We start from the raw sequence: 25121 nt of genomic DNA on the forward strand, positions 1-25121 counted from the left end.
TTTTTTGGTCACTTGTTTCTCTAATTTCTTCTCTCAACTCTTTCCCACTACCCCCGTTTCCACCTTCTTCCTTAAGAGGAAAATTACAAGTTTGAGTGGTGTGGCAACCGAGAGCTTCTGCTTTTCAATGTAAAGGTCAATTCTGTTTGCTTGTTCTTTGACTTCTCCTGTCCAGCAATGTATACCTATTTGTGTGTGAGGGTATAGTGTGTGCATACACGCTATATTTATGCATAGGTACACAAAACACACCCCATACCACAAAAGAACTCAGTCAACACTGTTCACAGAGGCCCACAAACCGCAACGAGGTGCTTTGGTTGATGGGCGCTCGGGTGTTTGGCGGGATTTTCTGGTTTTTGAAGACAACCCCAATTCTCCATCGCGCTGCCATTCCCTCTACTTGCCGAGAAATGAACACTGGCCCCCGCGGCCCTGAGCTGGATCCGCTCAAGCCCCGGCCTGCCGCCCAGTCGCACGCAGCCTCCGTAAGATTTCGGAAGCATAGTTTTGGGAAATTTACAAAGAGGGGACTTGTTTGCCGGATGGAGACAGTTGTGGGTCCTGCGGCCCTGACACTGCCACAGACGGGCCCTTCCAGAAACCTGTTGAAAAACTGAATTCACTCACACTGTGCATAACGCCGCTTGGCCGCTTTTTTCCTTCAGCCAAGGAACCCGAGTCTACTTTTAAGGCAGTAACTCTGAAAGCCTTTGCATGCTTTTTTTTTTCCCCTTGGTCTCTCTAGCTCTCTCTTCACTTTCCTTCCTTAAAAAAAAAAAGTCATGAAGTAAAGGGGTTTTGCGGTTTGTAGAGAAATAAAGCACTTCTGAGAAGGGACGGCGACGTGACTTTGAACTTGGCTCAGCTCTTCTGTGCCCTGCAGAGAGAGGAGAACTAGAGCCGGGAAAGAATAGCCAGGAGCGCCCAACCCGTAGGGTCTCCGGCGGGAATTAAGGCGTCCGCCCCACCGCCCGGCCGCGCGCGGCCCCTGGAATCCGGCGCGAGCGAGCGCCCAGCCGCGCGATCCCCAAACGCGGGAGCAGCAAAGGCGAAATCAAAGCGAAAGAGAGAATGGGTCAAAGAGGAGAGGGAGGGAGGACTGGGGAGGGGGTAAGACAGTGGGAAAGGAGGAAAACTTCGAAGTCTGATGGCCTGAAAGAAGGAAGGGAAGTGAGGTCTCTGCATGTGCAGGTCTGCTATTCTCATAACCAATCTCCAAGAAAACATTTTCCTTCGGAAATATTTTTGGAGTAAGCCCTTCCAAATACTCTCCTCTCGTGCTCGCCTCCCATTCCCATAAAAATTGATGAATAAAGCAAACAAGTGTGTAGTACAAAAATTGCACTAGGCAATTTTTAATGGATTCAACGTGGCAGGGCAGCCTTTCTGCCAAAGATGTTCTCTTTTCTCTCTGCGTCTATGTCTCAGGTCCCTTTAGGTCTAGGGGGCCAGTTTGGCTAGTGCCCTCCGCCCCCTTTTATGCACAGAGAGAGGGGTGTGGAAATGGGAACGTTTCCTCCTTTCAGGGAAGGTGAGAATCTCCATCTTCCAGGCAAACTGCCTTGCTTTCAGACAGGATGCCACAGCCTGCCTCCTTCTTGCACCCCCACCCCACCCCCAGGACAGGGAAGAATGGGACGGAGGGAGGGCACAGGGCTCCTTATGCAAGGGGCTGCGGCCAGCGCCAACCTGCAGAGACTCGCTTAAGCCGGGAGAGGCTGCCTGAGCCGGCGCAAGAGAGCCCGGGTTCTGCCAGCCATAGTGAGCTAGAGGATTCTTCCCGCGTTTTTGTTTATTTCATTTCAGAACATAATTCTGAAAAATTTATTATTTTCTCTTCGTTTAATTTTATTTCAACTCCTAGAGATTTATAAATAAAAGCAGTTCTCCAGGCCAGCCAGGAGAACACGCCCGAGGCGCTGGCCTCAGGCTGTCCCTTCACACCTCCGCAGCCTCTGGGCCCTCCGTTCCCTCTCTAGTTACCTCGGGAGCGCGAGATTTGGGCGGCGGGACAGGAAACGTCCGCAGCGGTCAGCCAGGCGCGGCGCCGGGAGCGGCCTCGCCGCTGGGCCACCGCCCGGGTGGTACTCCCTGCTCCTGGAGAAGGAGTGGATGGATATATATGCTTTCTAGAAGGTTTAAGCCCTGCCGTGTCTGACGGCTTCTTCTCCCGAGACCCTGAGCCTGACCCGCAGCCAAACTCCGGCCTGAGTCTCGCTTGGTCTCGGGCGTTCCCACACTTCTCAGCCCAAGGATGCGCGGCCCGGCTTCTGGGCATTTACCCTGAGGGTGACACTGTCTTTAAACGACTTCCGAACAACCCCCTTCCACGCAGGGGCCGCTGCCCAGTGTTTACTGCTGTAAACGGAGCAGGACGCAAGCGGCGGGTGGGGAGCTCAGCGCGCCGAGGGGCGGACGGGGACGCCGCGGGGGGCGGGGAAGGCGGTGTCTGGGTGGGCGTCCGGAGGGTGGGAAGAAGGGGCATGCCTGGCTTTCTCTGTGCCCACGGTCCTGCACCTGTGGTTTCAATGCCACAGAGCAAGTTTACAAAGGCGGGGTGAAAGTAGGGAGCGTGCCAAGCGGGCAGCAGACCAGCCCCCCGCCGCTCCTTGTGGCGCGCTCCCGGCGAGGCCCCGGGCCTGAAATGTCCCCGCGCGCAGAGCCTCCTGCCAGGCGACCCAGCTGTTAGCCACCTCTCGAGCGGCCTGGAGTGCTCGGGCCAGGCGTCCCCGGGGTTTTCGGTGTCCGCTGGGAGCTGCTCAGATCCCGGGGAAGTCGGTGGCCTACGCAGAAAGACTGGAGCGCTGGGTTGCCTCCCATTCCTGACCCGGCTGAGGGCGCCCTGACCCCGCGGCCCGGGCCCGCGTCCGAGCCACGCTGGACGCCCGGCTCCCGGGAGCGCCGCGGTCGGCCAGGACTAGAAGCCGCGGCGCCGAGGTCTCGGGAGAAGCGCGGCAGGATGGCAGGCCGGGCCCACGGGCACGTTCGGCGGCTGCCTGAGCCGGCAGCAGCTCAGGGAGCGCGAGGACTGAGGGGCGGGCCCGGCAGCGGGGCGGGGGCGCGGGACTGACTAGGCCGCGGCGGCCAATCGCGGCGCCGGGAGGGCGGGCGGGGCGGGAGCCGCCGTTAAAGGGGCGGTTTGACCGGGGGGGCCCGGCCTCGAGCTGGAGGGAGGGAGGGAGGCCGGGGCGGGAGACTAGGGGGTGCGGGGGGAGGGGAGAGGAAAAGGAGGAGACAAAAAATAAAAAATAAAAGGCTGCCGCTGCAGCGTTGGCGGCGCCCATCGAAATCAACGGAGGCGGTGGCGAACGCAGCCCACCGCAGCCGAGACCTGGGAGCCCGCCTGGGCCTCACACTCCCTCGGGTCGCGGACTGCGCTGGGTCCACGCGGCGCGGTCACTAGTTCCGGGCCCAGCGCCCAGGCCCGACCGGCGGGAGGGAGGAGGCGAGCGAGAGATCACTTTTTTATTGTTGTTATTGTTTTTCAGCCCAGCCTCCCCCTCCTCCCCTCCCCCTGCTCGCTTTCTCCCCTCCCACATCCCCCTCCCCCCTACTCCCCCGCCTCCTCCTCCGGCACAACTTAAAGAAAGGGGGAGCGGCGCGGCTGCTGCCTTCATCTGGGGAAATTCGTGGCCACTGCAAGTTTACTACGCGAGGCGCAGCCAATGCCAAGCGCCGAGGCCGAGGAGGGCTAAACACTGCGGCCGCGGCTCCGAACAATAACCGCCGCGCGCGGGGCGGCGCGAGTAGGGCCGCGGGGGAGGGAGCTGTCGCCGCAGAGCGCCGCGGAGAGGACGCCTGGACTCCGCCTGCCGCCCCGGCGCCCCCGCCGCGGTCAGGTGGAGCCGCTGGTGCGCTGGCCCCGGGTGCCGAGCGCGGAGCTCGCCTCGGTCCTCTCCTCGCCCGTCTGCCTGGCGTGCGCACGGCCGCCGCGGTTGTGACTGCATTCTACCGGCGCTGCTCGGTGCGGCCGGGCTCCGGGTCCGCTGGGCGTGCGAGTGAGTGTGTGCGTGCGCGCGCGGGTGCGCGCAGGGGTGGGGGCTGCGGCGCGGCGCTCGCCCCCCGGTAGCCCCCCTCTCCTCTCGGCTCCCCACACCTCCCTCCGGCTCCCTCCTCCCGCCCGCCCTCCCCTGCCCTGCCCGCCCGCCCCCGCCGCAGCTCCTTTAATACACTTTGGTTCTCCGCCTGGCTTTGGACTCTTCTCCTCCTCCACCTCCTCCTCCTCCTCCCGCGCCGCCGCCTCCTCCTCCTCTTCCTCTCCGCGCCTTCGCTACGCGCCCGGCCGCCCGAGGCAGATCCAGGCGGCGGCGGAGGCGGCGGGCGCAGGAGAGCGGCTCCCAGGGCTGAAGTGGCCGCCACCACCGCCGCCTGCGCCTGGAGCCCGGTGGCCGCCGGACGCACCGCGCGGATCGGGAGCGGGAGTCGAGGCGGCGCGGAGGCGCAGGGCTCGCAGGGGCGGGCGGGCGCGCTGGCCATGCTCCTGGACGCGGGTCCGCAGTTCCCGGCCATCGGGGTGGGCAGCTTCGCGCGCCACCATCACCACTCCGCCGCGGCGGCGGCGGCGGCTGCCGCCGAGATGCAGGACCGTGAACTGAGCCTGGCGGCGGCGCAGAACGGCTTCGTTGACTCCGCCGCCGCGCACATGGGAGCCTTCAAGCTCAACCCGGGCGCGCACGAGCTGTCCCCGGGCCAGAGCTCGGCGTTCACGTCGCAGGGCCCCGGCGCCTACCCCGGCTCCGCTGCGGCTGCCGCTGCGGCCGCAGCGCTCGGGCCCCACGCCGCGCACGTTGGCTCCTACTCTGGGCCGCCCTTCAACTCCACCCGGGACTTCCTGTTCCGCAGCCGCGGCTTCGGGGACTCGGCGCCGGGCGGCGGGCAGCACGGGCTGTTCGGGCCGGGCGCGGGCGGCCTGCACCACGCGCACTCGGACGCGCAGGGCCACCTCCTCTTCCCGGGCCTGCCAGAGCAGCACGGGCCGCACGGCTCGCAGAATGTGCTCAACGGGCAGATGCGCCTCGGGCTGCCCGGCGAGGTGTTCGGGCGCTCGGAGCAATACCGCCAGGTGGCCAGCCCGCGGACCGACCCCTACTCGGCGGCGCAACTCCACAACCAGTACGGCCCCATGAATATGAACATGGGTATGAACATGGCAGCAGCCGCGGCCCACCACCACCACCACCACCACCACCACCCCGGTGCCTTTTTCCGCTATATGCGGCAGCAGTGCATCAAGCAGGAGCTAATCTGCAAGTGGATCGACCCCGAGCAACTGAGCAATCCCAAGAAGAGCTGCAACAAAACTTTCAGCACCATGCACGAGCTGGTGACACACGTCTCGGTGGAGCACGTCGGCGGCCCGGAGCAGAGCAACCACGTCTGCTTCTGGGAGGAGTGTCCGCGCGAGGGCAAGCCCTTCAAGGCCAAATACAAACTGGTCAACCACATCCGCGTGCACACAGGCGAGAAACCCTTCCCCTGCCCCTTCCCGGGCTGTGGCAAAGTCTTCGCGCGCTCCGAGAACCTCAAGATCCACAAAAGGACCCACACAGGTAACCGCGGGCTGGGACAGGGACCAGGCGCGGAGGGGAGACACGCACAGGCTGAGACTCAGGCTGTGGGTGCCGACGCTGGGCGCAGACCGCCAGCCGGGGACCTGGGATGGGAGGTGTTTTTGCGTGTACGAAAGAGCCAGCAGCTTGTTTCTGTTGGACGATGACAATATTATTGGGCTAGGTTTTTCCATGTGCGGAAATCGAGTTTTGAATGATTAGCCTCACATCAAATGTATGCTTGGGTCATGCAATTGCTTCGTTTGCTCAGCCCCGGTTAATAATTTCCGTTTTAAGTAGAAAGCACAAAATAAAACTGCTCGCTAATTCGGTGCCCGGGAAGCGAGCCTAGAGAGGATTTTGCCAGCTTGTCTGAATGTGCTTTTCTGCTCGGAGTGTATGTCTGTCTGAGTGGTTTGTGTGTTTTCCCACTTCTTTTACTCGGGGTCCAAACGCCCTTCCCGGGACTGTTTCCCATGAAATGAGTCTGGTGTGAGCCGAAGCTGTAATGCGTTTCTCATTTTTAAAGTGTTTTTAAAGCCCGTCTCGGGGTGGGTCGCGGGGGCTTTACTGTGGTTTCGCAGCAGTTTGTGAAATTCTCTAATGGGCACCACAGAGTTTGCGATTCCCAACTTGGACCCAGGTCAGCTAGAGCCCCAGGTCAGCTAGAGCCCCAGGCAGCGCGGCCCCGCGGGGGGATCGCGTGAGAAGAGAGAGCCGCAAAAGAACGCGCCTCCCGCCTCATAGATTATTCATCTATGACCAGGTCTCAGCCAAAATCGTGCCAGACGATTTCCTAAAAGAAAGCCAAATGTTTTAGCAACTTCCCCCGTCAATATTTACTCCGAAGTGGGGATGCGCCAGCGGCCTATTGTTCTCTTCCGGGAAGGGAGGGAGCCGAGGTGCGAGACAAGCTTTTAACAAGGTTTAAAATTTGAGAAATTTATTTGCATGAAATGCTCGCTTTCGAGTCCTGTGTCTGAGCGGATGTCTTTAAGAAACAATTTAGGTGCTAATGGAATTTAACGTTAAACGGTCCCCTTTCCAAGTGGAACGACGTTTGAGTTCTCGCACCTCTAAATGACTCCAAGCATTTGGAATTCTGGCAACAGGATGCAGAGACAGCCAGAAAATTAAACGGGGAGGTTTTGAAAGGCTTTGCTGACTCCCCCAACCCTCGCCCACCAGCTTGTGCCTCTCCGCAGTCACTAGATGCTGCCTTATCTCTAATATTTACCTTTTCTTCAACTTATTTTTTTAAAGACGGGAGGTGAGACTAGAATTGTGGTTAATTCAATTTGCAGAATTTTGGATGAAAAATACTGGCTCAGTCACTCTCCACAGCCCGGCCCCCAAACAACACGTAGCAACTCCAAATGTAATTGCTTACTGGCCCTGGCGAGAAACCGACAGCAGCCCAGCAGCCTGTGTGATTTTGATAATGCCCCAAATATTTTGTCATAATAACAGCTTCTCCGTGGCGAGAGCAACTTGTTAGAAGCTGCAAATCCAAGAAGCCCTCTAGAAAGGCAGGCAGGGCTAGGAGCTTCCCCACATTCCTGAGAAATTTGAGGAGATGGACGTCAGCCTGGAAGAAAGTAAAATACGAAATAAATGAGCAGGACTGTCGGGCGGGAAGGCGGTTAATTTGATCTTAGTTCTGCCGCAGAGGGGATCGGACTGGTTTGAGGGACCCAGCCCCCTCAGGTCCTTCTCCCTCGCCGCGGCCCAGCCCCCTCGCAGCCTGAGTGGGGGCTCTGCAGGCTCTGGGTGTCTGCAGCCAGCGCCGATGTTTGCCGTCCACAGGGGAGAAGCCGTTCCAGTGTGAGTTTGAGGGCTGCGACCGGCGCTTCGCCAACAGCAGCGACAGGAAGAAGCACATGCACGTCCACACCTCCGATAAGCCCTATCTCTGCAAGATGTGCGACAAGTCCTACACGCACCCCAGCTCGCTGCGGAAGCACATGAAGGTACCACCGCGGCGGCCGGGAGGAGGGCGAGGCAGGCCGAGGCGCCGGTGCAGCACTGGCCCGGACCACCTCAGCCGGCCTGGGAGGGTCCCCAGGGGCCAGGGCGGCGGGGGGAACATTTCTGGGGGTGCTCTCCCCCAGGGGCCCGGCCCCACAGCAGCTGCACTCACACCCAGTCCCCTCTGGTCCCCCCTCCCGGCTTTTGTCTTGCAGGTCCATGAGTCCTCCCCGCAGGGCTCTGAATCCTCCCCGGCCGCCAGCTCCGGCTATGAGTCGTCCACGCCCCCGGGGCTGGTGTCCCCCAGCGCCGAGCCCCAGAGCAGCTCCAACCTGTCCCCAGCGGCGGCGGCAGCGGCGGCGGCGGCTGCGGCGGCGGCGGCCGCGGTGTCCGCGGTGCACCGGGGCGGAGGCTCGGGCAGTGGCGGCGCGGGAGGCGGCTCAGGCGGCGGCAGCGGCAGTGGCGGGGGCGGCGGCGGGGCGGGCGGCGGGGGCGGCGGCAGCTCTGGCGGGGGCAGCGGGACAGCCGGGGGTCACAGCGGCCTCTCCTCCAACTTCAATGAATGGTACGTGTGACGGGTCGGGGCCTCTCTCCCTCTCCCTGTCCCCACCCCAGCGCAGCAGCCCTCCCCGCAGCTAGCAGCGAGGGCACCTTGTGATCATGTTGTTAAAATTATGAATCTGATTTTTATGATGATGAAAATTTTACCAGCAGAAGGATTTTTTAAAGTTTTTTTTTTTTTTTTAATAATAATCTAGGCATGAAGAGCAAAAATATCCCTTCCGGAGTCTTTGAAGCTGAAAATATAAAACAAATAAAAAATAAAAAAATAAAAACCCACAAAAATGTTGAACCAAACCTCCCTGCTAATCTCCATGCCCACGTTCTTTCCCACCCTGTTCCCAGTCTTCTGACAAACTGTGTACATAGCGGACTCCTCCTTTCTCCTCCGAGGTGGTTTTAAAGGCTTTTTGGTGTATAGAAGTTTGTCCATTTGTAAAACTCCGGATTGCGTTCCTCCCCGCCTTCCGCCCCTTCCCTTCCCTAAAGTGATGGGCTTTCTCTTTTCTCTTTTTAGTTTACCCGGTTTCTTTTTAAGTAATGTGGAAGAAAATGGTTTATTTTGTATTGTGGTATTGAATATTGTGTTCCTTTTTATGAGGCAACCTGATTGTAAACTTCATGTAACTATAGACTGGAAAAAATGAGCCGTGCCAAAGTCTCCCTTCTGTTTCTTCAGCACATTGACCCATAGCACACACATACACACCACCACCAACAACGCTTGTGAATGTATTTTTCTGTTAGCTGGGTTTACATGTGATGTTTTAGTGCTTTTGCAAGTTCAATTTGTTAGTTCCTGTATGAAAGATTGTGGGGGAAAAATAAACGTCGTGCCGTTAGCTTTTTCCGTAATAACACCCTTCCTTCTGTAAATACCCGTTACCATATTTATCCATTTGTAATTAAATTATGGTATTAACTTGCTACAGAGGAAACAATATTTATAAAGAATGTTTCTTAACTATAAATATGTACAATTGTGGGCATAAACTGTTTCAGATTTTTTATTTGAAGGTTTTAAGTGGTTTGATCATTTCTTGTGATGTTTTGAGAGTAATGCATACAGAAATATAATAAAATGTGTTGAAACTGCATGAACATACTATTTTTTCTAGCAAAGTTATTAAAGAAAATGGGGGAAGAGGCAGCTGAGGATTGACCTGGGTACGCCTCAGCGAGCCTGAGTGGGCGGGAGGCACACGCGTTCTGGGGAGGAAGGTGTGTGTCTGCATAGAAACCAAGCCAAAGTGCCCGTTTGGCAGAAGGTCTCAAAATTATTTTCTTCGGCCTTTGTTTAATAGCTGAGAGTGAATTAAATTTTTGGAAAGCCCCTGTGAGGAATGGCGGCAGGAACCTTCAGAGCTTCTAATGGCTCCATTATCTGAGGGAATGCCTTTCTTTCTTTCAGCTATTTGGGCTGGATTTAAGAGCACTAAACATTTCCTTATTCTTTGTTTTCCCCCTTTCCTGCCCCCTTTCCTCTCCCTCCCTCTGAAAAGCTGAGGTACAGTTATTTTTAATTACACATTTAAAACTGTGCAGAGTACTTTCTTTTTGAACTTGGCCTAATGATTATAGTTTTAAGGGCCCGTTTGTACCAAAAGTTGCTTGAAATTTTAAGCAGAGAAACCTTGCTGAAGCAAAGCAGCTGTGTCCCAACAAGCAGGATGGTCAAGGGAAGGTGATAAATAGGCTATATTTTGATCTTCTTGGGGGAGGAGATTAGATAGGAAAGCAACAAACCGTTGGCCCCAAAGGAAAGAGAATCTCTTGAAGAATTCAGTAAAAATAGAATAAAATATCGAGACTAAAATTGCCAGGTGGAAGTGAGAGAGCCAGAGCCCCAGCCACCAGCTTTTCTCCCACGTTTACAGCCTTCCTACCTTCCCCGCAGGAGCTGATCGGAGTTTTCAAACAAGATACTCTAAGGAAGAAGGCAAAAATAATTGTAATAACGAAAGGGTAGGGATGGGGAAGATTATTTTTAAATTTCTGAGCCATCAAAATATCTCCCTCTCCCAGTAGCTCCAAGAGGCCTTGGGCAGTGCTGGACCTCCCCCCTCCAGCTCTCCCAGCTGGAAAAAGACTTGGGTGGTGGCAGCGACACCTCCAGAGGATCGCGCAGCACCGCCGTGGAGACGCAGAGCGCGGGTGGCGCGATGGCTGCGGCTTCCCTGCTCTCCTTTCCCTCCAGCCCTGGAATGAGCCTCTGGACCAGGCTGGCCAGGCCTGAGGGGTGCTTGGGGAGAGAGGGGCAGCCCTGACCTCCCGGAGGTCACAATACCTGTTCAGTGGGGAGGAAAGGCGTCCAGCCTTGGGTGGGGGAGTGACCAGAGGGTGACAGAGGCCAGGCTCGCCTTCCCCAGCGGCTCTGCGAACTGCCCAAGCGCCAACTCCTGAAGCAATCAGAGCCCCATTAAAATCAAATTTATAACCCCTAATAATATTAGGCGAAATTATTAAAATAATTGGCATATGTTACTGATCCTTGGGAGAGTTCATTGAACACATTATAAGCTGTGAGGAAAATCGTTTAGAGTTTTCCAAAGCACCCCCACCCCCATGGGGGGACGAAGGAGTCAAATGAAATATTTGTCATAACTTGTGCAAGAACAAAAAGGCCTATTGGAAATGTTTCAACTTTTTTAAAAATTTATTTATTTTTTATTTTTTGGTGGAAATTGGTTTTGAGAGAAGCCCCAAATCTAAGGAGAAGGACAAGATGGGGGTGGGGAAGGCAATTTTACCATGGGGTTTGGGGCTTTTCTTCCCATCTGGGGAAGAACAAAAAGGGCCAGAAGAGGTGGCCGATCTCACAGCCTTGAGTTGGTTCGATTGCTTTCCCCATCTGAAAGTCAGAGAGCCACCCGAGGCCCCTTCAGGTGCGGGGGCGCTGATCCTAGTTTTCAGCAGGAGAATAAAATATGAACGAGGAAGATCACAGCCTGGGAGTGGTCTCCGAGTCCACCCTAGGATGTGTGGAGCGGGCGGGAGCCGCTTTTCCTCGAAAGGGCTCCCAGTCCCTGGTCCCTCGCTTCCCAAGGCTTTGTCCAAACAAGTCACGGACCCGACAAGGTGGTCCATTCTCTCTCTTTGGCCTTTCTTTTCTGCCCTTCGAATCCGAAGGACTGGATGGAGGGGAGGGGATATGGCAATAGTGTAGAAGTGTCAAGATGTGAAAATTGCTCAACTGAGAACGCACGCGGGGGCTCGCGGCCCAACAGCCTGCACCACACTCAGGAGCCTGGGCCTGGGCCTGGGGGTGGGGTGGGGGGGACAGGCGTCCCCCCCACCCCAACCCCACCCCTATCCCTGCCCGGCTGTCTAAACGGACCTAAATGCTAACCTGCTGTTGCCTTGACTCCAGAGACACGAAACTGAAGCTAGCCCTCGCCCCTCTCTGGGATCCCGCGCTGCGCTGCGGGTAGCTGCCCGCAGGGAGGCCCAACCTGCCGCGGCTGGAGCACGGTTTCTGCTAGCCGCCGCCGTCAACTTGAACTTCAGTGAGCCTAGGCCGGCTTCCTTCGCGCTCACCTCCATCCACCACCTAAGAAGTCCCCTCAGCGCGAGCGTCGCTTTATCCGGAGGCAGCTGGAGCCCCCTCGGGAGGCCCGTCATTATTATTATTAATTATCGTGATCCTTACTGCATTATTAATGCCCAGGATGATAACCGGCATCGGTATCAGCTTTCCCTGGTTCAGTGATATCCCACGAAGTTCGGGGCGGGGAGGAAGTCACTCCAGGATCAGAGGCCGCGTCGGTTCTGCTTGGGGCATGGGCAGAGGGAGGCTGCTGGGGCCAAGCCCCGGCTGGACGCGAGGGAAGAAACTCGTCCCAGGACCCGCACGCCCATACCTGGCTGTCCCAGAGCTCTTCCCTAGGCCGGCACCTTCGCTCTTCCTCTTCCCCACCCCCTAGCCCTTTTGTCTCTTTTTCAGACGGATGTTTTCAGTCTCAAGTGGTTTTATTTTCCGCACAAAACCCTGAGATCAAGGGCAGATCACAGACTGTACCGGAGGCTCGGGTTTCCCTGGACTCTGTGCTGTTCTGCGTCCCAGGGTTGGCTAGGAAGGAAGGCCTGGGCCGGCGAGGTGACGGGTCTCCCGCCCAGGTCGGCAGGACGGGGGGAGGTGTGTCCCGGTAGGTCCCTGGTGAGCTCACCCGTGGCATCGGGGACCCGCGGGAACCCACCGGGCGCCCACTAGAGACTCGGGTCCTACCCTCCCCCACACTACTCCACCGAAATGATCGGAAGGGCGCGCTAGGCCTGCTTCCAAGGGCTCAGTGATAAAGGCCTCAAAATCACACTCCATCAAGACTTGGTTGAAGCTTTGGGTAGGTTTGTTGTTGTTGTTGTTGTTGTTTGTTTGTTTGTTTTAGCAGACACGTCCTGGAAAGAGGTCCTCAGAACCCAAAGGTTCAATAATGATTTGTGGATGGATTGATTATAGTCTGATATCGCTCTGGTTCCACAGAAACCCGGAGCTCCTTGGCCCACTGTTACCCCAGCAGACCTAAATGGACGGTTTCTGTTTTTCACTGGCAGCTCAGAACTGGACCGGAAGAAGTTCCCCTCCACTTCCCCCCTCCCGACACCAGATCATTGCTGGGTTTTTATTTTCGGGGGAAAAACAACAACAACAACAACAAAAAAAACACTAGGTCCTTCCAGACTGGATCAGGTGATCGGGCAAAAACCCTCAGGCTAGTCCGGCTGGGTGCCCGAGCATGAAAAGGCCTCCGTGGCCGTTTGAACAGGGTGTTGCAAATGAGAACTTTTGTAAGCCATAACCAGGGCATCCTGAGGGTCTGAGTTCACGGTCAAGGCTGTGGGCTACTAGGTCCAGCGAGTCCAGGCCTCGCCCCGCCCCCGAGCTGCCACAGCCAAGATCTTCGGCAGGGAATTCGAGACCAGGGTCCTCCCACTCCTGCCCCGCCCCGACAGTCCGAGAACTCTCGGTGCTGGGGCCACCTCGTCGCCCTCCCACGTTTCTCTTTTGTTCCCAGGAGCCGACGAGCTTTTGAAGAGGTGACACCTCGCTTCGCCTTCTCCTGCTCTAGGCCCTGCCCTCGTCCAGCATCCCTCCTGCCCCACGAAGCGAGAGGATGCTCAGCGCAGCTGCCAGGCAGAGAGTGTGTGGGGAGGTCCCTTGCCTTTGCGCGCGCGCACACACACAGACACGCACACACACAGACACACATACACACAACACACTCACACCATATGCTCACACACCCTCACCTCCTTCAGCTTCCGCACCTCCCAGCCACAGGCTCGCGTGAGTGGGAAGGACCTGAGGCCGCAGAAATGTGGGTTAGCGTGGGCAGCAGGAGATGCTCCCCGCACCCCTCCTCCCATTCCTACCTCCCCCAGCCCTTTCTAGCGCCTCTTGGAGGGGACCGGGCCTGCCCTGCGCTCTCAACCTAATTCGGCCTCGGAGGGTCCTCCCCCACCCAGGGCGGCACTCCCCAGGCCGGCACTCGCGCCACTGGCGTGGGACTAAGGCTCCCTGCAGTTGGGTCTCCCAAGCCCACTTCCAGGGGCTGAGAGAGGCCAGGCTGCCTTGCCTGCCCGCGCGCCCTCCAGCCCTCGGGTGTAGGGAGGGGAGCGCCCCCTCACCTCCAAGGAAATCTGGAGTAAGGGAAGAGCTGCCTGGCCCCCGCGTCCCCTGAACCTGGCCTCAACCTCTGCCTTTCCCAACCTCCCGGGCTAGGTTTATCTCTGTCCTAAAGGCCAAGCCGGTGGCCCTGGGGAGCAGAAGGGAGCTCAGAGCTGCTGGAGAAGGTGGGGGGTAGAAATAATAATAATGTCAGAGATAATCATCGCAGTTAACGCTCAGCGACTGGGCTGCTCCGCGGAGGCCGGCGGAGGCCTACAGAGGCTCCTGACTGGCAGAACTGGAGGTGTGGGTGTGGTTCCCTTTTCACCCCGGCTCTTATGTTGCCAGTCTCCCCCCTACCACCAGGCAAAGCCCCCCTAAACTTAGGGTCTGGAACAAGGCCGAGCCAGCGAGGGCCTGCCAGGAGCTGCGCTGGAGCCTCTCGCTGCATCCAGAGCTGGTTCTTGTTCTTTTCTCTCTCTTGGCCCACTGGGCCCACAGTGGTTAGGTGGCCGAGTGTGGTTTCCCGAAACTCTTTGGAGTCGCCTGGGTCTGCGTGCCCCTGGCCCCGTCCTCACCCCCGGGCTCGTCCCCCAGCCTCCGCCGGCCCGCCTGTGAATGGTGGATTTAATGAGCGTTTGTGTGGCGTTGGCCGGCGGTTCTGAAGATGCGCTGACCTGGAGGGAGGGCGCGAAAGGTCAGGCGCATGCCGGGCCCAACTTGGGCTCCTCCCAGGCCCACGCTGCTCCGATATTGATCCTGGGAGAAAGATAAACAGAAAAGCTGGACATTCAGTCATGAATACTAATGAGCCAGGGTAGGGGTTTTAATTGCTGTGGACTTCCTTTCTCCAGTTAATCCTTATTGCAAACTTCGCTGGAGTCAGCTTTCTCGGGCCTCCCGCCTCCTTGTATTTTCCTGTGAAATACCCAGGCGAAAGAGACCCGTGACAACTTGACTTTCTCCTCTTCGAGAGGCCCGTGTGAGCTCGAGAGCCCACAGCCCGTGTTTCCAGTGTGACTCTGTTTACTAATTATGGAAATATAGGGATCCTATAAAATAAATTGTTTCAATATGGCTTTGGCGAGTCTGCTTCTTGACTTCTTCACCCTTATTGTTTCAAAGACTTCGTGTGTCCTTGGCCTTTAAACTTCCTCTTGACAATTTCATCTTTTCTCCCGCCACGGAGCTCCTTTCTACTCCAAACGGTGCATTTTTTCCCCAAATGTTCACGTTTCTCAAGTCTCCAGGACTTGGCACTGGCTTTGCCAACCGCAGTGTCTAAGTATTTCAACCTAGCAGTGAATTCTTAGGCAAGCTAATTTACCACGTTACACAAATTTTGTGGTTTCTTTGGTACCTACAAGCAACATTGTAATATGAGACAGGAATCTAAAAGAATTGTCAGAAAGATTTCTGCCTCCATTCTTGATATGCATTTGATAACTTACGTATAATCACTTTTATAAAAATAAAGCCATTCTTGAGTGAGCTTTTTCTTGAAACTGCATTAAGTCGACTGTAAATTCTATAAAGCAGTTTTGGCTGTGTGATCAGGAGAGAAATATATAAGCCCATTTTTGTGACAGACTAGGTAGAAATGCGTTGAAACCCAAGCCAGAAAAAAAAAATCAGTTGTGCTAGAGAAATTTCCATTATTCTGATCCTTAAAGTTTTGAACAAAATAAGCCTGTATTTCACTTCATTGTCAATAGGTCCCAGCATTGAAATCTCCTGAGGATTCTGTTTCACTTACACTTTTCAGTCCAAACTTTTTTTTCTTTGCACAATGATTTATTATGTAGGTAATTTTAGGGGATGCAGTTTACAGCTTGAATTATTAGACTGAACACCTCTGGCTGACACCACGACGCCTTTTTTTTTTCTGCCTGCAGCTGTGAGTCACAACCCCATTTTCATACCCAACCGCTGCACATTCCTTCACAATGTATACTTCCTTCTTGCAAAGATCAAACATGCTTTGGTCAAAGTGTTTATTTTAAAATACAGGAAAATTAAAACTAAACACAGCTCTACTGAAAAATCCCCAAATGTATCATATTTTCCTCCTCCTGTGCCCACAAAAAAATTAACAAATTGCACCACTTTCTGGGGTAAAAAAAATGAATTGAAGGAGAACACACAGACACATAGAGACATAGTGTTCATTTTAGTGTTGAAACACACCAGAAAACTTCCCACTTCCATTCATATTTGGATTCCTGTTTGGATGTCTAGTTTTTACTATAAAAAATATCACAAACCAAACAACAACAACAATGTATCATTAAAAAGATGCTGACAGTTATGTATTTTATTCACCAACCTACACACTCCTCATTCCTACTTCATTTTTCCCCTCCTAGTGTTTTTCTTGTAATTATATCTTTCAGATTGTAACTTTCAGGGGAGAAGTATATTTTGAAATATTTTCTAAATAGAAAACAAAAGGTCTCAGTAACTCAGAAATAAGTTAACAATTCCTAAGCATCTCTGTGGGTCTTTGGCATGTGTGTGTGTTTTCTTTTTCCTTTCAAATTAAGATGAAAAAATTATAAGGGAGAATCACTCCATCTCAGCACCTAAATCCTGTAAAGTGGACTTTAACTGCAGATTTTGGTGGACAAGCTGCCCTTCTGCAGCACACTCTCTAACTGCATATTTCAGCTTCTCGATGCTCCCACTTGAAAGAGACATAGACCTCAGCCACCTCCTCTCTGAGGCAATTTACTCAGCTTCTCCAATCACACAGTTCTTTAACGGGGCAGAAATTGTTGGGTTGTTTTTAATCAAGTTTGGAAGCTGAATCTCTTTCCCCTGATGACTGTGCCCAGGGGTGGATCCGGCTGAATGTCTGGCGCTGCGGGCAGCGGGCTTGGCCACCCGTTTTTCAGACACAACACCAGAGAATGGCACTGAAATAATCGCGTGTAGCAGAAATGTTTAAAAACATTAACCTCTCTTATTTTCTATACTTGTGAATTAAAAGGCAAAAGAAGCTGAAAGGAAATCTGAAATGATACTCATTTACCTACTGAAGGCAGACCAAGAAACTGTAAAGATGCTTGATGCTTTGAAAATGTACTCTGTAAAATCTTTCAAATTAGATGCTGCTTAAGATCAATGGCAGTAAAAATATTTTTATGGTTTGATTGGTTAAAACATTTTTAGATATTAGTGATGATAAATTAACAGATCAGAAGTTTCTTTCTAGGAACAATTTGGGAGGGATATAGAAAGTAATCTAGTAATCTAATAATACTCTTCCTATTGTTTAAAGGGAGACAAATTATAGTACATACTATGTGGACTTTTTTAAACTTTAGATCAATAAAAATATTTGGCTTTCATATACTATTGAAAATTCTTTGCGAAAGTGGAGAATCAAGGATTTTAAAGACCAAGAACAAAACAAAGAATCAGATTACAGTCTTCCTCTAAAATACACTTCTTCCTTTGCTGGGTTTTCAAATGATATCATTGGTGATTCTTTGTTTATTTGAACAATCTCTTGAAATTAAAATGGATTGAATATTTCCCTCTAGGTAGTTCAACTTCAGACACACAAATATTTCTAAAAGTTCTAAATGTAAATCAAAGACTTTATAAAGCTTCAGCAACAACATTTCATATCATGGCAAAACCAATTTTATTGTGACATTCCTCTCATATCTGGCAGATTATCAGACACATCAAAAATTCTCACCTTGAAAATGCACTCTTCCAAAAATCATATACATTGGAGAAACTAATTTTTATAATGTGTAATTTGTGGTTTATTATCTCATTTCTGTTTTTAAATCCAAGTGAATTAATTTAAAAAGTAAATTTGGATTAGAGGGGAGACATTAGTGAAAAGTCTTATGTATTAATCAAATTCTTCTCAACTACCTCCAGTATGCACACACATCATTCACACACACCCTTCTTGAGAAGAAAAAAAATGTTCCAGCTGAAGAGAACAGTCATATCAGCCATTTGGCTTCAAATGCCTTATACAAAAGTTTAAAATAGCTATTTTGTAATATGGCAAAACTATCGTTTAATGTTTCAGGGTAACATTTTTCTAAATCTTCATGTGATAATTTACTTATTCAAAAATGTAACAAATGATTGACTTTATTGGGCAAAATATTGCTCTACATATTTGTTAAAGTAGATATCTCACATAGGGTGCCATTGTAACTTATGTAAGTCTCTTTTCCGTACAATTGTGTTCACTTGTAGGTAATCTACTATTCTCTTGTGCCTCCAACATTGTTGCACTTGAAAGTTGAATGTTGAGGACTCAAGGTTGGAAACCAAATCGAGTGCCTTGTGTGGAAGCAAAAGATGTTTTCCTCTGACAGATGCTACTTTGGGTGTCTTTTCTGCTAAGCAGATCTCCGCGTTAAATTAGCCTAATCATTTGCCTCTCTGTTTTTTCTAAAGGTCTGTGGTCCAAGTAGCAGTCATTCCTGCAATAGACGATAGGTTCTGTTCGGTAGCGGGAATGTCCTGTTTCTTTGCTTTAAGTTTCACTTTGTGATTAAAATGCAATAAAATAAGTCTGGAAAATCATTTTTAAGAGAACACTTTCAAGAAGCACTTCCTTTCCTAGTGCCAGACAACGGTGCTCCCCAACCACTTGGCTGGAACGCTTGCTTTCGATTTGTTTGTTTCGCGCATTTCCCTAAAGAGCCGGGCTCTTTGCGCTGTTTTAATTCTGCTTTAAAAATGCATCGCTTCTGCCCTGAATCCTTCTCTGAAACAAATTCCTATCGAAAGTGTATCAGATTCGTTCCAAATATGGGATATGGATCAATATTCCCATGCTACAAATATTTTTTAAATTGTTTTTGTCGTAGGAGTCCACACTTTTGCAATATATTTTTAATTGAAGTAGGGTTGCCTGTTATTTCTCATGATACACAAAAAAGTAGCAATTACCGTCTGCTTAGTCCTTCCTTTATTATTATTTTTAGCCCGTGTATCATTACCTAACTGGTATGCGTTCTTCTGCCCAGCTCCTGATGATCTAGTTGAATTCTAGACATTGTGCCAAGAAGTGTATTTGAAGCAGATAAGTACGTATAATACAAATGCGTCTTGTTAGACCTGATGGATGCTATTTTTCTTTTAATAGGTTTGTAGCAAACTAACACAATAACACAATGTATTCCTTTTCAAGATACATTGTTGAAACAGGTCTATTAAGAGCGCGTTGAGCTATTTCTCGCTTCCATTGAACAGTCTGTTGCTCAAACACAACAGCCAACAAACGCCAGCTGCCTCAACAAAAGTAGAAACCTAACCCTTTTATGTAATGTTTTAACAGAAAGGGTAGCTCTGTTTAATTAAAAACATTGATGATTCAGTGAAACAATAGAAACTCAAGTTCAAGTGGTGCTCTATTGATTTAAGATGATTTTTTACTAGCAATGGGTATAATTCATTTTTTTTCCAGTTCTCTCTTGTGTAAAGGGGTTCCTTCTGGGGGCATTATTTGGGTGAATAGGAAAAGACAGAGATGGCTATTGCCTTAGAAACCTGATTAACGTATATTGCTTTGAGGGTAAGGTGTTTAATTTATAAGTGCACCCCATATTTTTTGTCAGTTTATTCGCGGTGGGGAAGCTTTGAAAGTAGCTCCTCTCAGCAGGTTAAAAAGTGAAGTCTGCGTCCTGGCATTTAAATGTCTTTGTTATTGTGTCAGGCAAGTTGTTGAAAACTGCATGCCCGGAATATTAAGGTTGGGCGGCTAGAGGAGGCAAGTTGTGTGTGTGTGTGTGTGTGTGTGTGTGTGTGTGTGTGTGCGCGCGCGCGCCCCTGGGCGCAGGGCTGTGTGTGCGAGGACAATTATTTTCATCAGCTGCTTGCTAGCCCGCGCCCGACTGCTCCTCTTTGCAGAACCGACGGGCTTTCAACTCTGGAAGTGAAGCAGGACGAATTCCTCCATGGAGACTCCCTCCTTGGGAACGTCGAACTCTCTCTGCCTTGGGGAGTGGGGCTCGATAAAGGGTACCTAGGTCGCACCCTGGCAGGGGAGCACTAGAGGGCCGCGAGGTCCCGGGTTTCGCCATCCTGAGACCCCCGCGCGGATGGCCCAGGAGGGGCGCGGCGGCCCTGAGTCAAGGTGGGCGGGGGCAGGTGCTTCCCTCCACCGCGTTGTCCTATGCCGGCGCGGTCCCCACCGCCCGACCTAGCCCGGCGCCGGCCGAGCACGGCGGCCGCGCTTCGCACTCCTTCCTCCCACCGGGTCCGCAGGCCCGGCTTCACGATTCCCGGGCCCTCGGGCATGTGAGGGACTTGAGTGAATGCAGCTCCCTCAACTCACTCCCGCAAAACCACAGCCAAGAGGGCCTTAAGTCAGAGAACCCGGCCTAGGAGCCTCCCCTAGAGCCTCGGCGCGGGCCCCTTCCCCTTCCCCACATCGGTCGGCCGAGGGAGCCTAGAGCCGGTGGGAGACGGGCAGCGGCCTCTCCTGATCCTTTCCTGCGGTCATACAAGTTCCTAGGGTGGGCCGAGGACAGAGCGCCTCAGGCATCGTCGGCTTCCCACGGCTGCGGCCCAGGCCCAGCCTGCGGCCTTGGAGCCATTCGCTCCAAGCCCCGACAGGCCGCGACCGCCTCGAGGGCCGCACTTCCGCCTGCTACCGACTTTCCGCGCACCCAGGGGTCAAAAGGCACGGCCCGCCTCTACCCACTTCCGGGGTCCGGCCTCCCCAGGTCCGGCTGGCCCCCACCCAGCCCAGGGCCCCTGTGGGTCCCGGAAGCCGGAGGACCGCTGAGACCGAGGCCTGGAGCCCGTCGCCCTCCGGGCCCACCTTGGCGGATGACAGTCGGGGAGGCCGAGGCCAGAAAGGGACCCGCGGGGGAAACGTCCACAGGGGCCCCTTAGGCCTACAGTGAATTATTTAAGCTGTTCCTGGTGTTTAAAGAGGTTTTTCAGTTTTTAAAGAATGTTGTAAAAAAATATCAGTCCTTGTTAACTCCCTCATTACATGCTTTTTTTCCCTCAGCTGAACAAGCTCTATTTCCTGAGTCGCAGGAGTAATGTAAGTGTTTAAACGTGTGTCAAGTGTCTTATAAATAATACAAATTCATACAGAAGAGGAGGAGATTTAACTGATACCTGAAGGACTTGGCATAGCCACATTTGCTGTGCGGTTGTTTTTGGACAGGGACGTGTGGTCGGGAAACCGCCCTGACAGCGCCTGGTGGGGCTCTGTCCTCAGCTCAGCCCTGTGAGTCTGTCCCCACCCCTGTCTAGGAAAGCCCAGGAGGAGTTTGACCAGTTCGTGAGAGACGGTCCAGTGGTCTGCAGTTTCTATACTAGAGCGTCTATACTCAACTCAGTATTTTGGAGTTCCTTTTCTTATTTTTTATTTTTATTTTTTGAGACGGAGGTCTCACTCTGTCGCCCAGACTGGAGTGTATATAGTGGCTCAATCTCGGCTCACCGCAACCTCTGCCTCCCTGGTTTAAATGATTCTCCTGCCTCAGCCTCCCGAGTTGTTGGAACTACAGGCACCCGACACCACACCTGGCTAACTTTTGTATTTTTAGAAGAGAGACGGTTTCACCATGTTGGCCAGGCTGGTCTAGAACTCCTCACCTCAGGTGATCCACCTGCCTCAGCCTCCCAAAATGCTGGGATTACTGGCGTGAGCCACCGTGCCCAGCCCTGGAGTTGTTTTTCTGTCTTTTCCTTTCAGCCTCCTATCCTTTCTCCATTTTTCCTTTCTGGTCTTTCTCCTTCAAAGTGTCTGCTGCTGTGACATTGCTATGACATCCCTCCCTCCTTGTTAGAATGAGGGTTAGTGCTGCTTCTGGCAAAAAAAGACAGTAAGAGGGTTGAGGTCTGGGCTTTAATTTGAGATCTGGGCCACAAAACCATTTGTATTCATTCTCGTCCCTAGAAAGCTAAAATAATAATAAGGAGGTTTGGCCATACATGGCTCACGCCTGTAATCCCAGGACTTTGGGAGGCCGAGGCAAGTGGATTGCCTAAGGTTGGGAGTTCGAGACCAGCCTGAGCAACATGGAGAAACTCCGTCCCTAACTAAAAATACGAAATTAGCTGGGCCTGGTGGTGCATGCCTGTAATCCCAGCTACTCCGGAGGCTGAGTCAGGAAAATCACTTGAACCTGGAAGGTGGAGGTTGCAGTGAGCCGAGATTGCACCATTGCACTCCAGCCTGGGCAACAAGAGCGAAACTCTGTCTCAAAAATAAGAAGAAGAGGAAGGAGGATGTTTTCTTCTGAGGAAGGTAAGTACAAAGTATTATTTTATAGTAAAATGGTGTATACTGTGTGGAAATTAGATTAAACTTCAGCAGTACTCCCCTGCTTTAGTTCATTGGATGATATTTTTCATATTGGTTGTCATTCTGAGAAAGATTTCTCTGGACATTCTATTTCTAGCTGTTTTAAAATGTCTAAACTAGAGGGAAATGTAGGAGTTTTCAATTATTAAAATAACCAAATGCTTTTATAAAGTCAGAACTATCTTGATTTTAAAACATCATGCTCATAGTATAATTATCGTCAGTGTAGTAACAAAAATTGACTGGATTGTGGACTTAAGGAACAGGTTACAAATTCACTTCCTAAGTGGTATTCCCCCAGCAATTTTTATTTTTTATTTTTTATTTTTTAATTAATTTATTTTGAGATGGAGTCTCACTCCGTCCCTAAGCTGGAGTACAGTGGCACAATCTCGACTCACTGAAACCTGTGACTCCCTCATTCAAGGAATTCTCCTGCCTCAGCCTCCCAAGTAGCTGGGATTACAAGCACAAGCCACCATGCCCAGCTAACTTTTGTATTTTTAATAGAGACGGGTTTTCACCATATTGGCCAGAATGGTCTCGATCTCCTGACCTCATCTTCTGCCTGCCTCGGCCTCCCAAAGTGCTGGGATTACAGGCATGAGCCACCGTGCCCGGCCACAACATTCTTAATGTAAGGGTTTGAAGCCTCTCTCAATCCTTGACCAACTGTTAAATTAGGCCTGATTGTTTTGCTGTATGCATTAGCGATGCTCTTGCCCTTCTTAAAATGATACCCCAGCCTTTAGTAAAACCCCATCCGGATATTTCTAAGGTGTTCAAGAGATGTCTTAGGTATTTTTTTTTCTTTTTTGAGTTGGAGTCTCACTCTCTTGCCCAGGCTAGAGTGCAGTGGCGCGATCTTAGCTCACTGCAACCTCCATCTCCCTGGGTCATGCAATTTCCAGCTAATTTTTGTATTTTTAGTAGAGACGGGGTTTCACCATGTTGGCCAGGCTGGTCTCAAACTCCTGGCCTCGATTGAGCCCTGCCTCGGCCTCCCAAAGTGCTGGTATTGCAGACGTGAACTACTGCGCCTGGCCATCTCAGGTATTTTCAGTAGCAAGTCTGTTAGACTACTAGACTTAGTATATAATAGCATATTGCATTTTAAACCTCTTCTTGGCCCAGGCACGGTGGCTCACGCCTGTGATCCTAGCACTTTGGGAGGCTGAGGTGGGTAGATTACCTGAGGTCAGGAGTTCGGGACCAGCCTGACCAATGTGGTGAAACCCCATCTCTACTAAAAATACAAAATTAGCTGAGCATGGTGGCACATGCCTGTAATCTCAGCTACTTGGGAGGCTGAGGCAGGAGAATTGCTTGAACCCAGGAGGCGGAGGTTGCAGTGAGCCGAGATCGCGCCATTGCACTCCAGCCTGGGCAAACAAGAGTGAAACTCTCTCAACAACAGCAACAACAACAAAAACCTAAACCTCTTCTCCAACTATTTACCTTCTTCTGGTGATTTTGCCACACCCTGTGTTTTCATGCACTGTTGTTGTTGGTTTTTTTTCTTTTTTTTTTCTAGAGATAGATTCTCACTCTGTCACCCAGGTTGGAGTGCAGTGGCGCGATCTCAACTCACTGCAACCTCCGCCTCCCAGTCTCCAGCAATTCTCTTGCCTCAGCCTCCCTAGTAGCTGGGATTACAGGTGCATGCCACCACACCCGGCCTATTTTTGTATTTTAGTAGAGACGGGGTTTCACCATGTTGGCCAGGCTGGTCTCAAACTCCTGACCTCAGGTGATCCACCCACTTCGGTCTCCCAAAGTGCCGGGGTTACAGGTGTGAGCCACCGCGCCTGGCCTGCATACACTGATGATAGGTCTGCTGGGTGTTCCCCCTCTTGTCAGGCATCTCTTCTGTGTGCATTGTTGCTGCTTTTCCTGGTTACAGCTGGTGTTGACTGTATGGGTAATATAGAGATGCTAAAGCTCTGAGGTATTTATTGTTAATTATCTGTGCTGTACTGTCTCAAAGGGTTTCAAAATGGTTTGCAATGTATTTTGTTACTGGTTTTAATAGAAACAGATATTTTCATTTTTACTTATACCTCTCTCTTTTCTTAGAACCTAGATTTGAATCCAAAGTAGTTGTGGTAGAGATAATTTCCAGTATCAGGCACTATGGTACTTTCAAAATTACTCCACTAAGCACCAAAGCTTTGTTTCTTTTTCTTTTTCTTTTCTTTTTTTTTTTTTTTTTTTTGAGACAGAGTCTTGCTCTGTCGCCTGGGCTGGAGTACAGTGGCGCCATCTCCGCTCACTGCAAGCTCCGCCTCCTGGATTCACACCATTCTCCTGCCTCAGCCTCCAGAGTAGCTGTGACTACAGGCATCTGCCACCATGTCTGGCTAATTAGTGGAGATGGGGTTTCACCGTGTTAGCCAGGATGGTCTCGATCTCCTGACATCGTGATCTGCCTGCCTTGACCTCCCAAAGTGCTGTGATTACAGGCATGAGCCACCGCACCCCGCCCAAAGCTTTGTTTCTAAATGAAACTACTTGATCTTCTCTTGCTTAAGATAAGTTTACACCCAGGAGGCTTTTCAGTCTGTCATAGGAATACATTTCAGGTGGTTTTCTTCTTATGCTTTCAGAATTGCTCTCATATGTATGAACTCTAGTGATGGAAACAACTTAGATTTTATAGTTGGGGAGTAGTTGAGACTATTCCTCTTCCCAGTACACTCACGCAGACACAGATGTGTATACACACTGATAAACTCCTAAATTGGCAGGTGAAAACTTTGCTGAGCTTAACAAATACCTTTTTGATATGTAAACAGTTCCTAAGAATGCCAGCCATCTGCTGAAAGCCAGACAATAAATTATGAACAGAATAGTCAATGCATACATAACTTATTTATTTGTTCTTAAACATTAGCCATATCTAGGCAGTCTTTGAGATGAGCCTCTGTTGCTAAACTCAGATTCAGCATTTTGAACTTTTTTCTTTTTTGAGACGGAGTTTTGCCCTTGTTGCCCAGGTTGGAGTATAATGGCACGATCTCAGCTCACTGCAACCTCTGCCTCCTGGGTTAAAGCCATTCTCCTGCCTCAGCCTCTCAAGTAGCTGGAATTACAAGCACACACCACCATGCCCAGCTAATTTTTTATT

At 51.6% G+C, this 25121-nt stretch overlaps 1 protein-coding gene and 1 long non-coding RNA gene across 2 annotated transcripts, besides 8 other annotated features; one reads left to right on the forward strand and one right to left on the reverse strand.

Moving 5' to 3' along the window:
- Positions 1236-1745: an enhancer, noted in NCBI's record as "OCT4 hESC enhancer chr13:100631077-100631586 (GRCh37/hg19 assembly coordinates)". NCBI's record gives its function as "activates a minimal SCP1, AML or CMV promoter by ChIP-STARR-seq in naive and primed H9 embryonic stem cells {active_cell/tissue: H9 hESC(naive and primed)}" and the evidence as "EXISTENCE:reporter gene assay evidence [ECO:0000049][PMID:30033119]".
- Positions 2779-3028: a silencer, noted in NCBI's record as "silent region_5474". NCBI's record gives its function as "represses an Ori minimal core promoter by ATAC-STARR-seq in GM12878 lymphoblastoid cells {active_cell/tissue: GM12878}" and the evidence as "EXISTENCE:reporter gene assay evidence [ECO:0000049][PMID:35858748]".
- Positions 3857-3986: a silencer, noted in NCBI's record as "silent region_5475". NCBI's record gives its function as "represses an Ori minimal core promoter by ATAC-STARR-seq in GM12878 lymphoblastoid cells {active_cell/tissue: GM12878}" and the evidence as "EXISTENCE:reporter gene assay evidence [ECO:0000049][PMID:35858748]".
- ZIC2 (Zic family zinc finger 2) lies at positions 4197-9178 on the forward strand. The gene is made up of 3 exons (NM_007129.5): positions 4197-5552; positions 7359-7522; positions 7736-9178. The coding sequence occupies exons 1-3, from the start codon at positions 4478-4480 to the stop codon at positions 8093-8095; spliced, it is 1599 nt and encodes a 532-aa protein (NP_009060.2). The 5' UTR covers positions 4197-4477; the 3' UTR covers positions 8096-9178.
- Positions 5955-7154: an enhancer, noted in NCBI's record as "P300/CBP strongly-dependent group 1 enhancer chr13:100635796-100636995 (GRCh37/hg19 assembly coordinates)". NCBI's record gives its function as "activates an origin of replication core promoter dependent on BRD2, BRD4, P300/CBP, MED14 and CDK7 cofactors, with strong dependence on P300/CBP, by STARR-seq in HCT116 cells {active_cell/tissue: HCT116}" and the evidence as "EXISTENCE:reporter gene assay evidence [ECO:0000049][PMID:35650434]".
- Positions 7862-7907: a tandem repeat, named in NCBI's record as "Zic family member 2 polyalanine repeat instability region".
- Positions 7868-7897: a repeat instability region, noted in NCBI's record as "repeat instability region; expansions and contractions of the polyalanine-encoding repeat tract are associated with holoprosencephaly (HPE)". NCBI's record gives the evidence for it as "EXISTENCE:nucleotide sequencing assay evidence [ECO:0000219][PMID:11285244, PMID:9771712, PMID:22847929, PMID:21940735]".
- Positions 12721-13670: an enhancer, noted in NCBI's record as "H3K4me1 hESC enhancer chr13:100642562-100643511 (GRCh37/hg19 assembly coordinates)". NCBI's record gives its function as "activates a minimal SCP1, AML or CMV promoter by ChIP-STARR-seq in naive H9 embryonic stem cells {active_cell/tissue: H9 hESC(naive)}" and the evidence as "EXISTENCE:reporter gene assay evidence [ECO:0000049][PMID:30033119]".
- LINC00554 (long intergenic non-protein coding RNA 554) lies at positions 17312-20322 on the reverse strand. The gene has a single exon (NR_047483.1). It is a non-coding gene; the product is annotated as a long intergenic non-protein coding RNA 554 (long non-coding RNA).
- Positions 19933-20878: an enhancer, noted in NCBI's record as "H3K27ac-H3K4me1 hESC enhancer chr13:100649774-100650719 (GRCh37/hg19 assembly coordinates)". NCBI's record gives its function as "activates a minimal SCP1, AML or CMV promoter by ChIP-STARR-seq in primed H9 embryonic stem cells {active_cell/tissue: H9 hESC(primed)}" and the evidence as "EXISTENCE:reporter gene assay evidence [ECO:0000049][PMID:30033119]".

The sequence above is a fragment of the Homo sapiens genome, chromosome 13 (assembly GCF_000001405.40).
Source record: "Homo sapiens chromosome 13, GRCh38.p14 Primary Assembly".
Classification (NCBI taxonomy): Eukaryota; Metazoa; Chordata; class Mammalia; order Primates; family Hominidae; genus Homo; species Homo sapiens.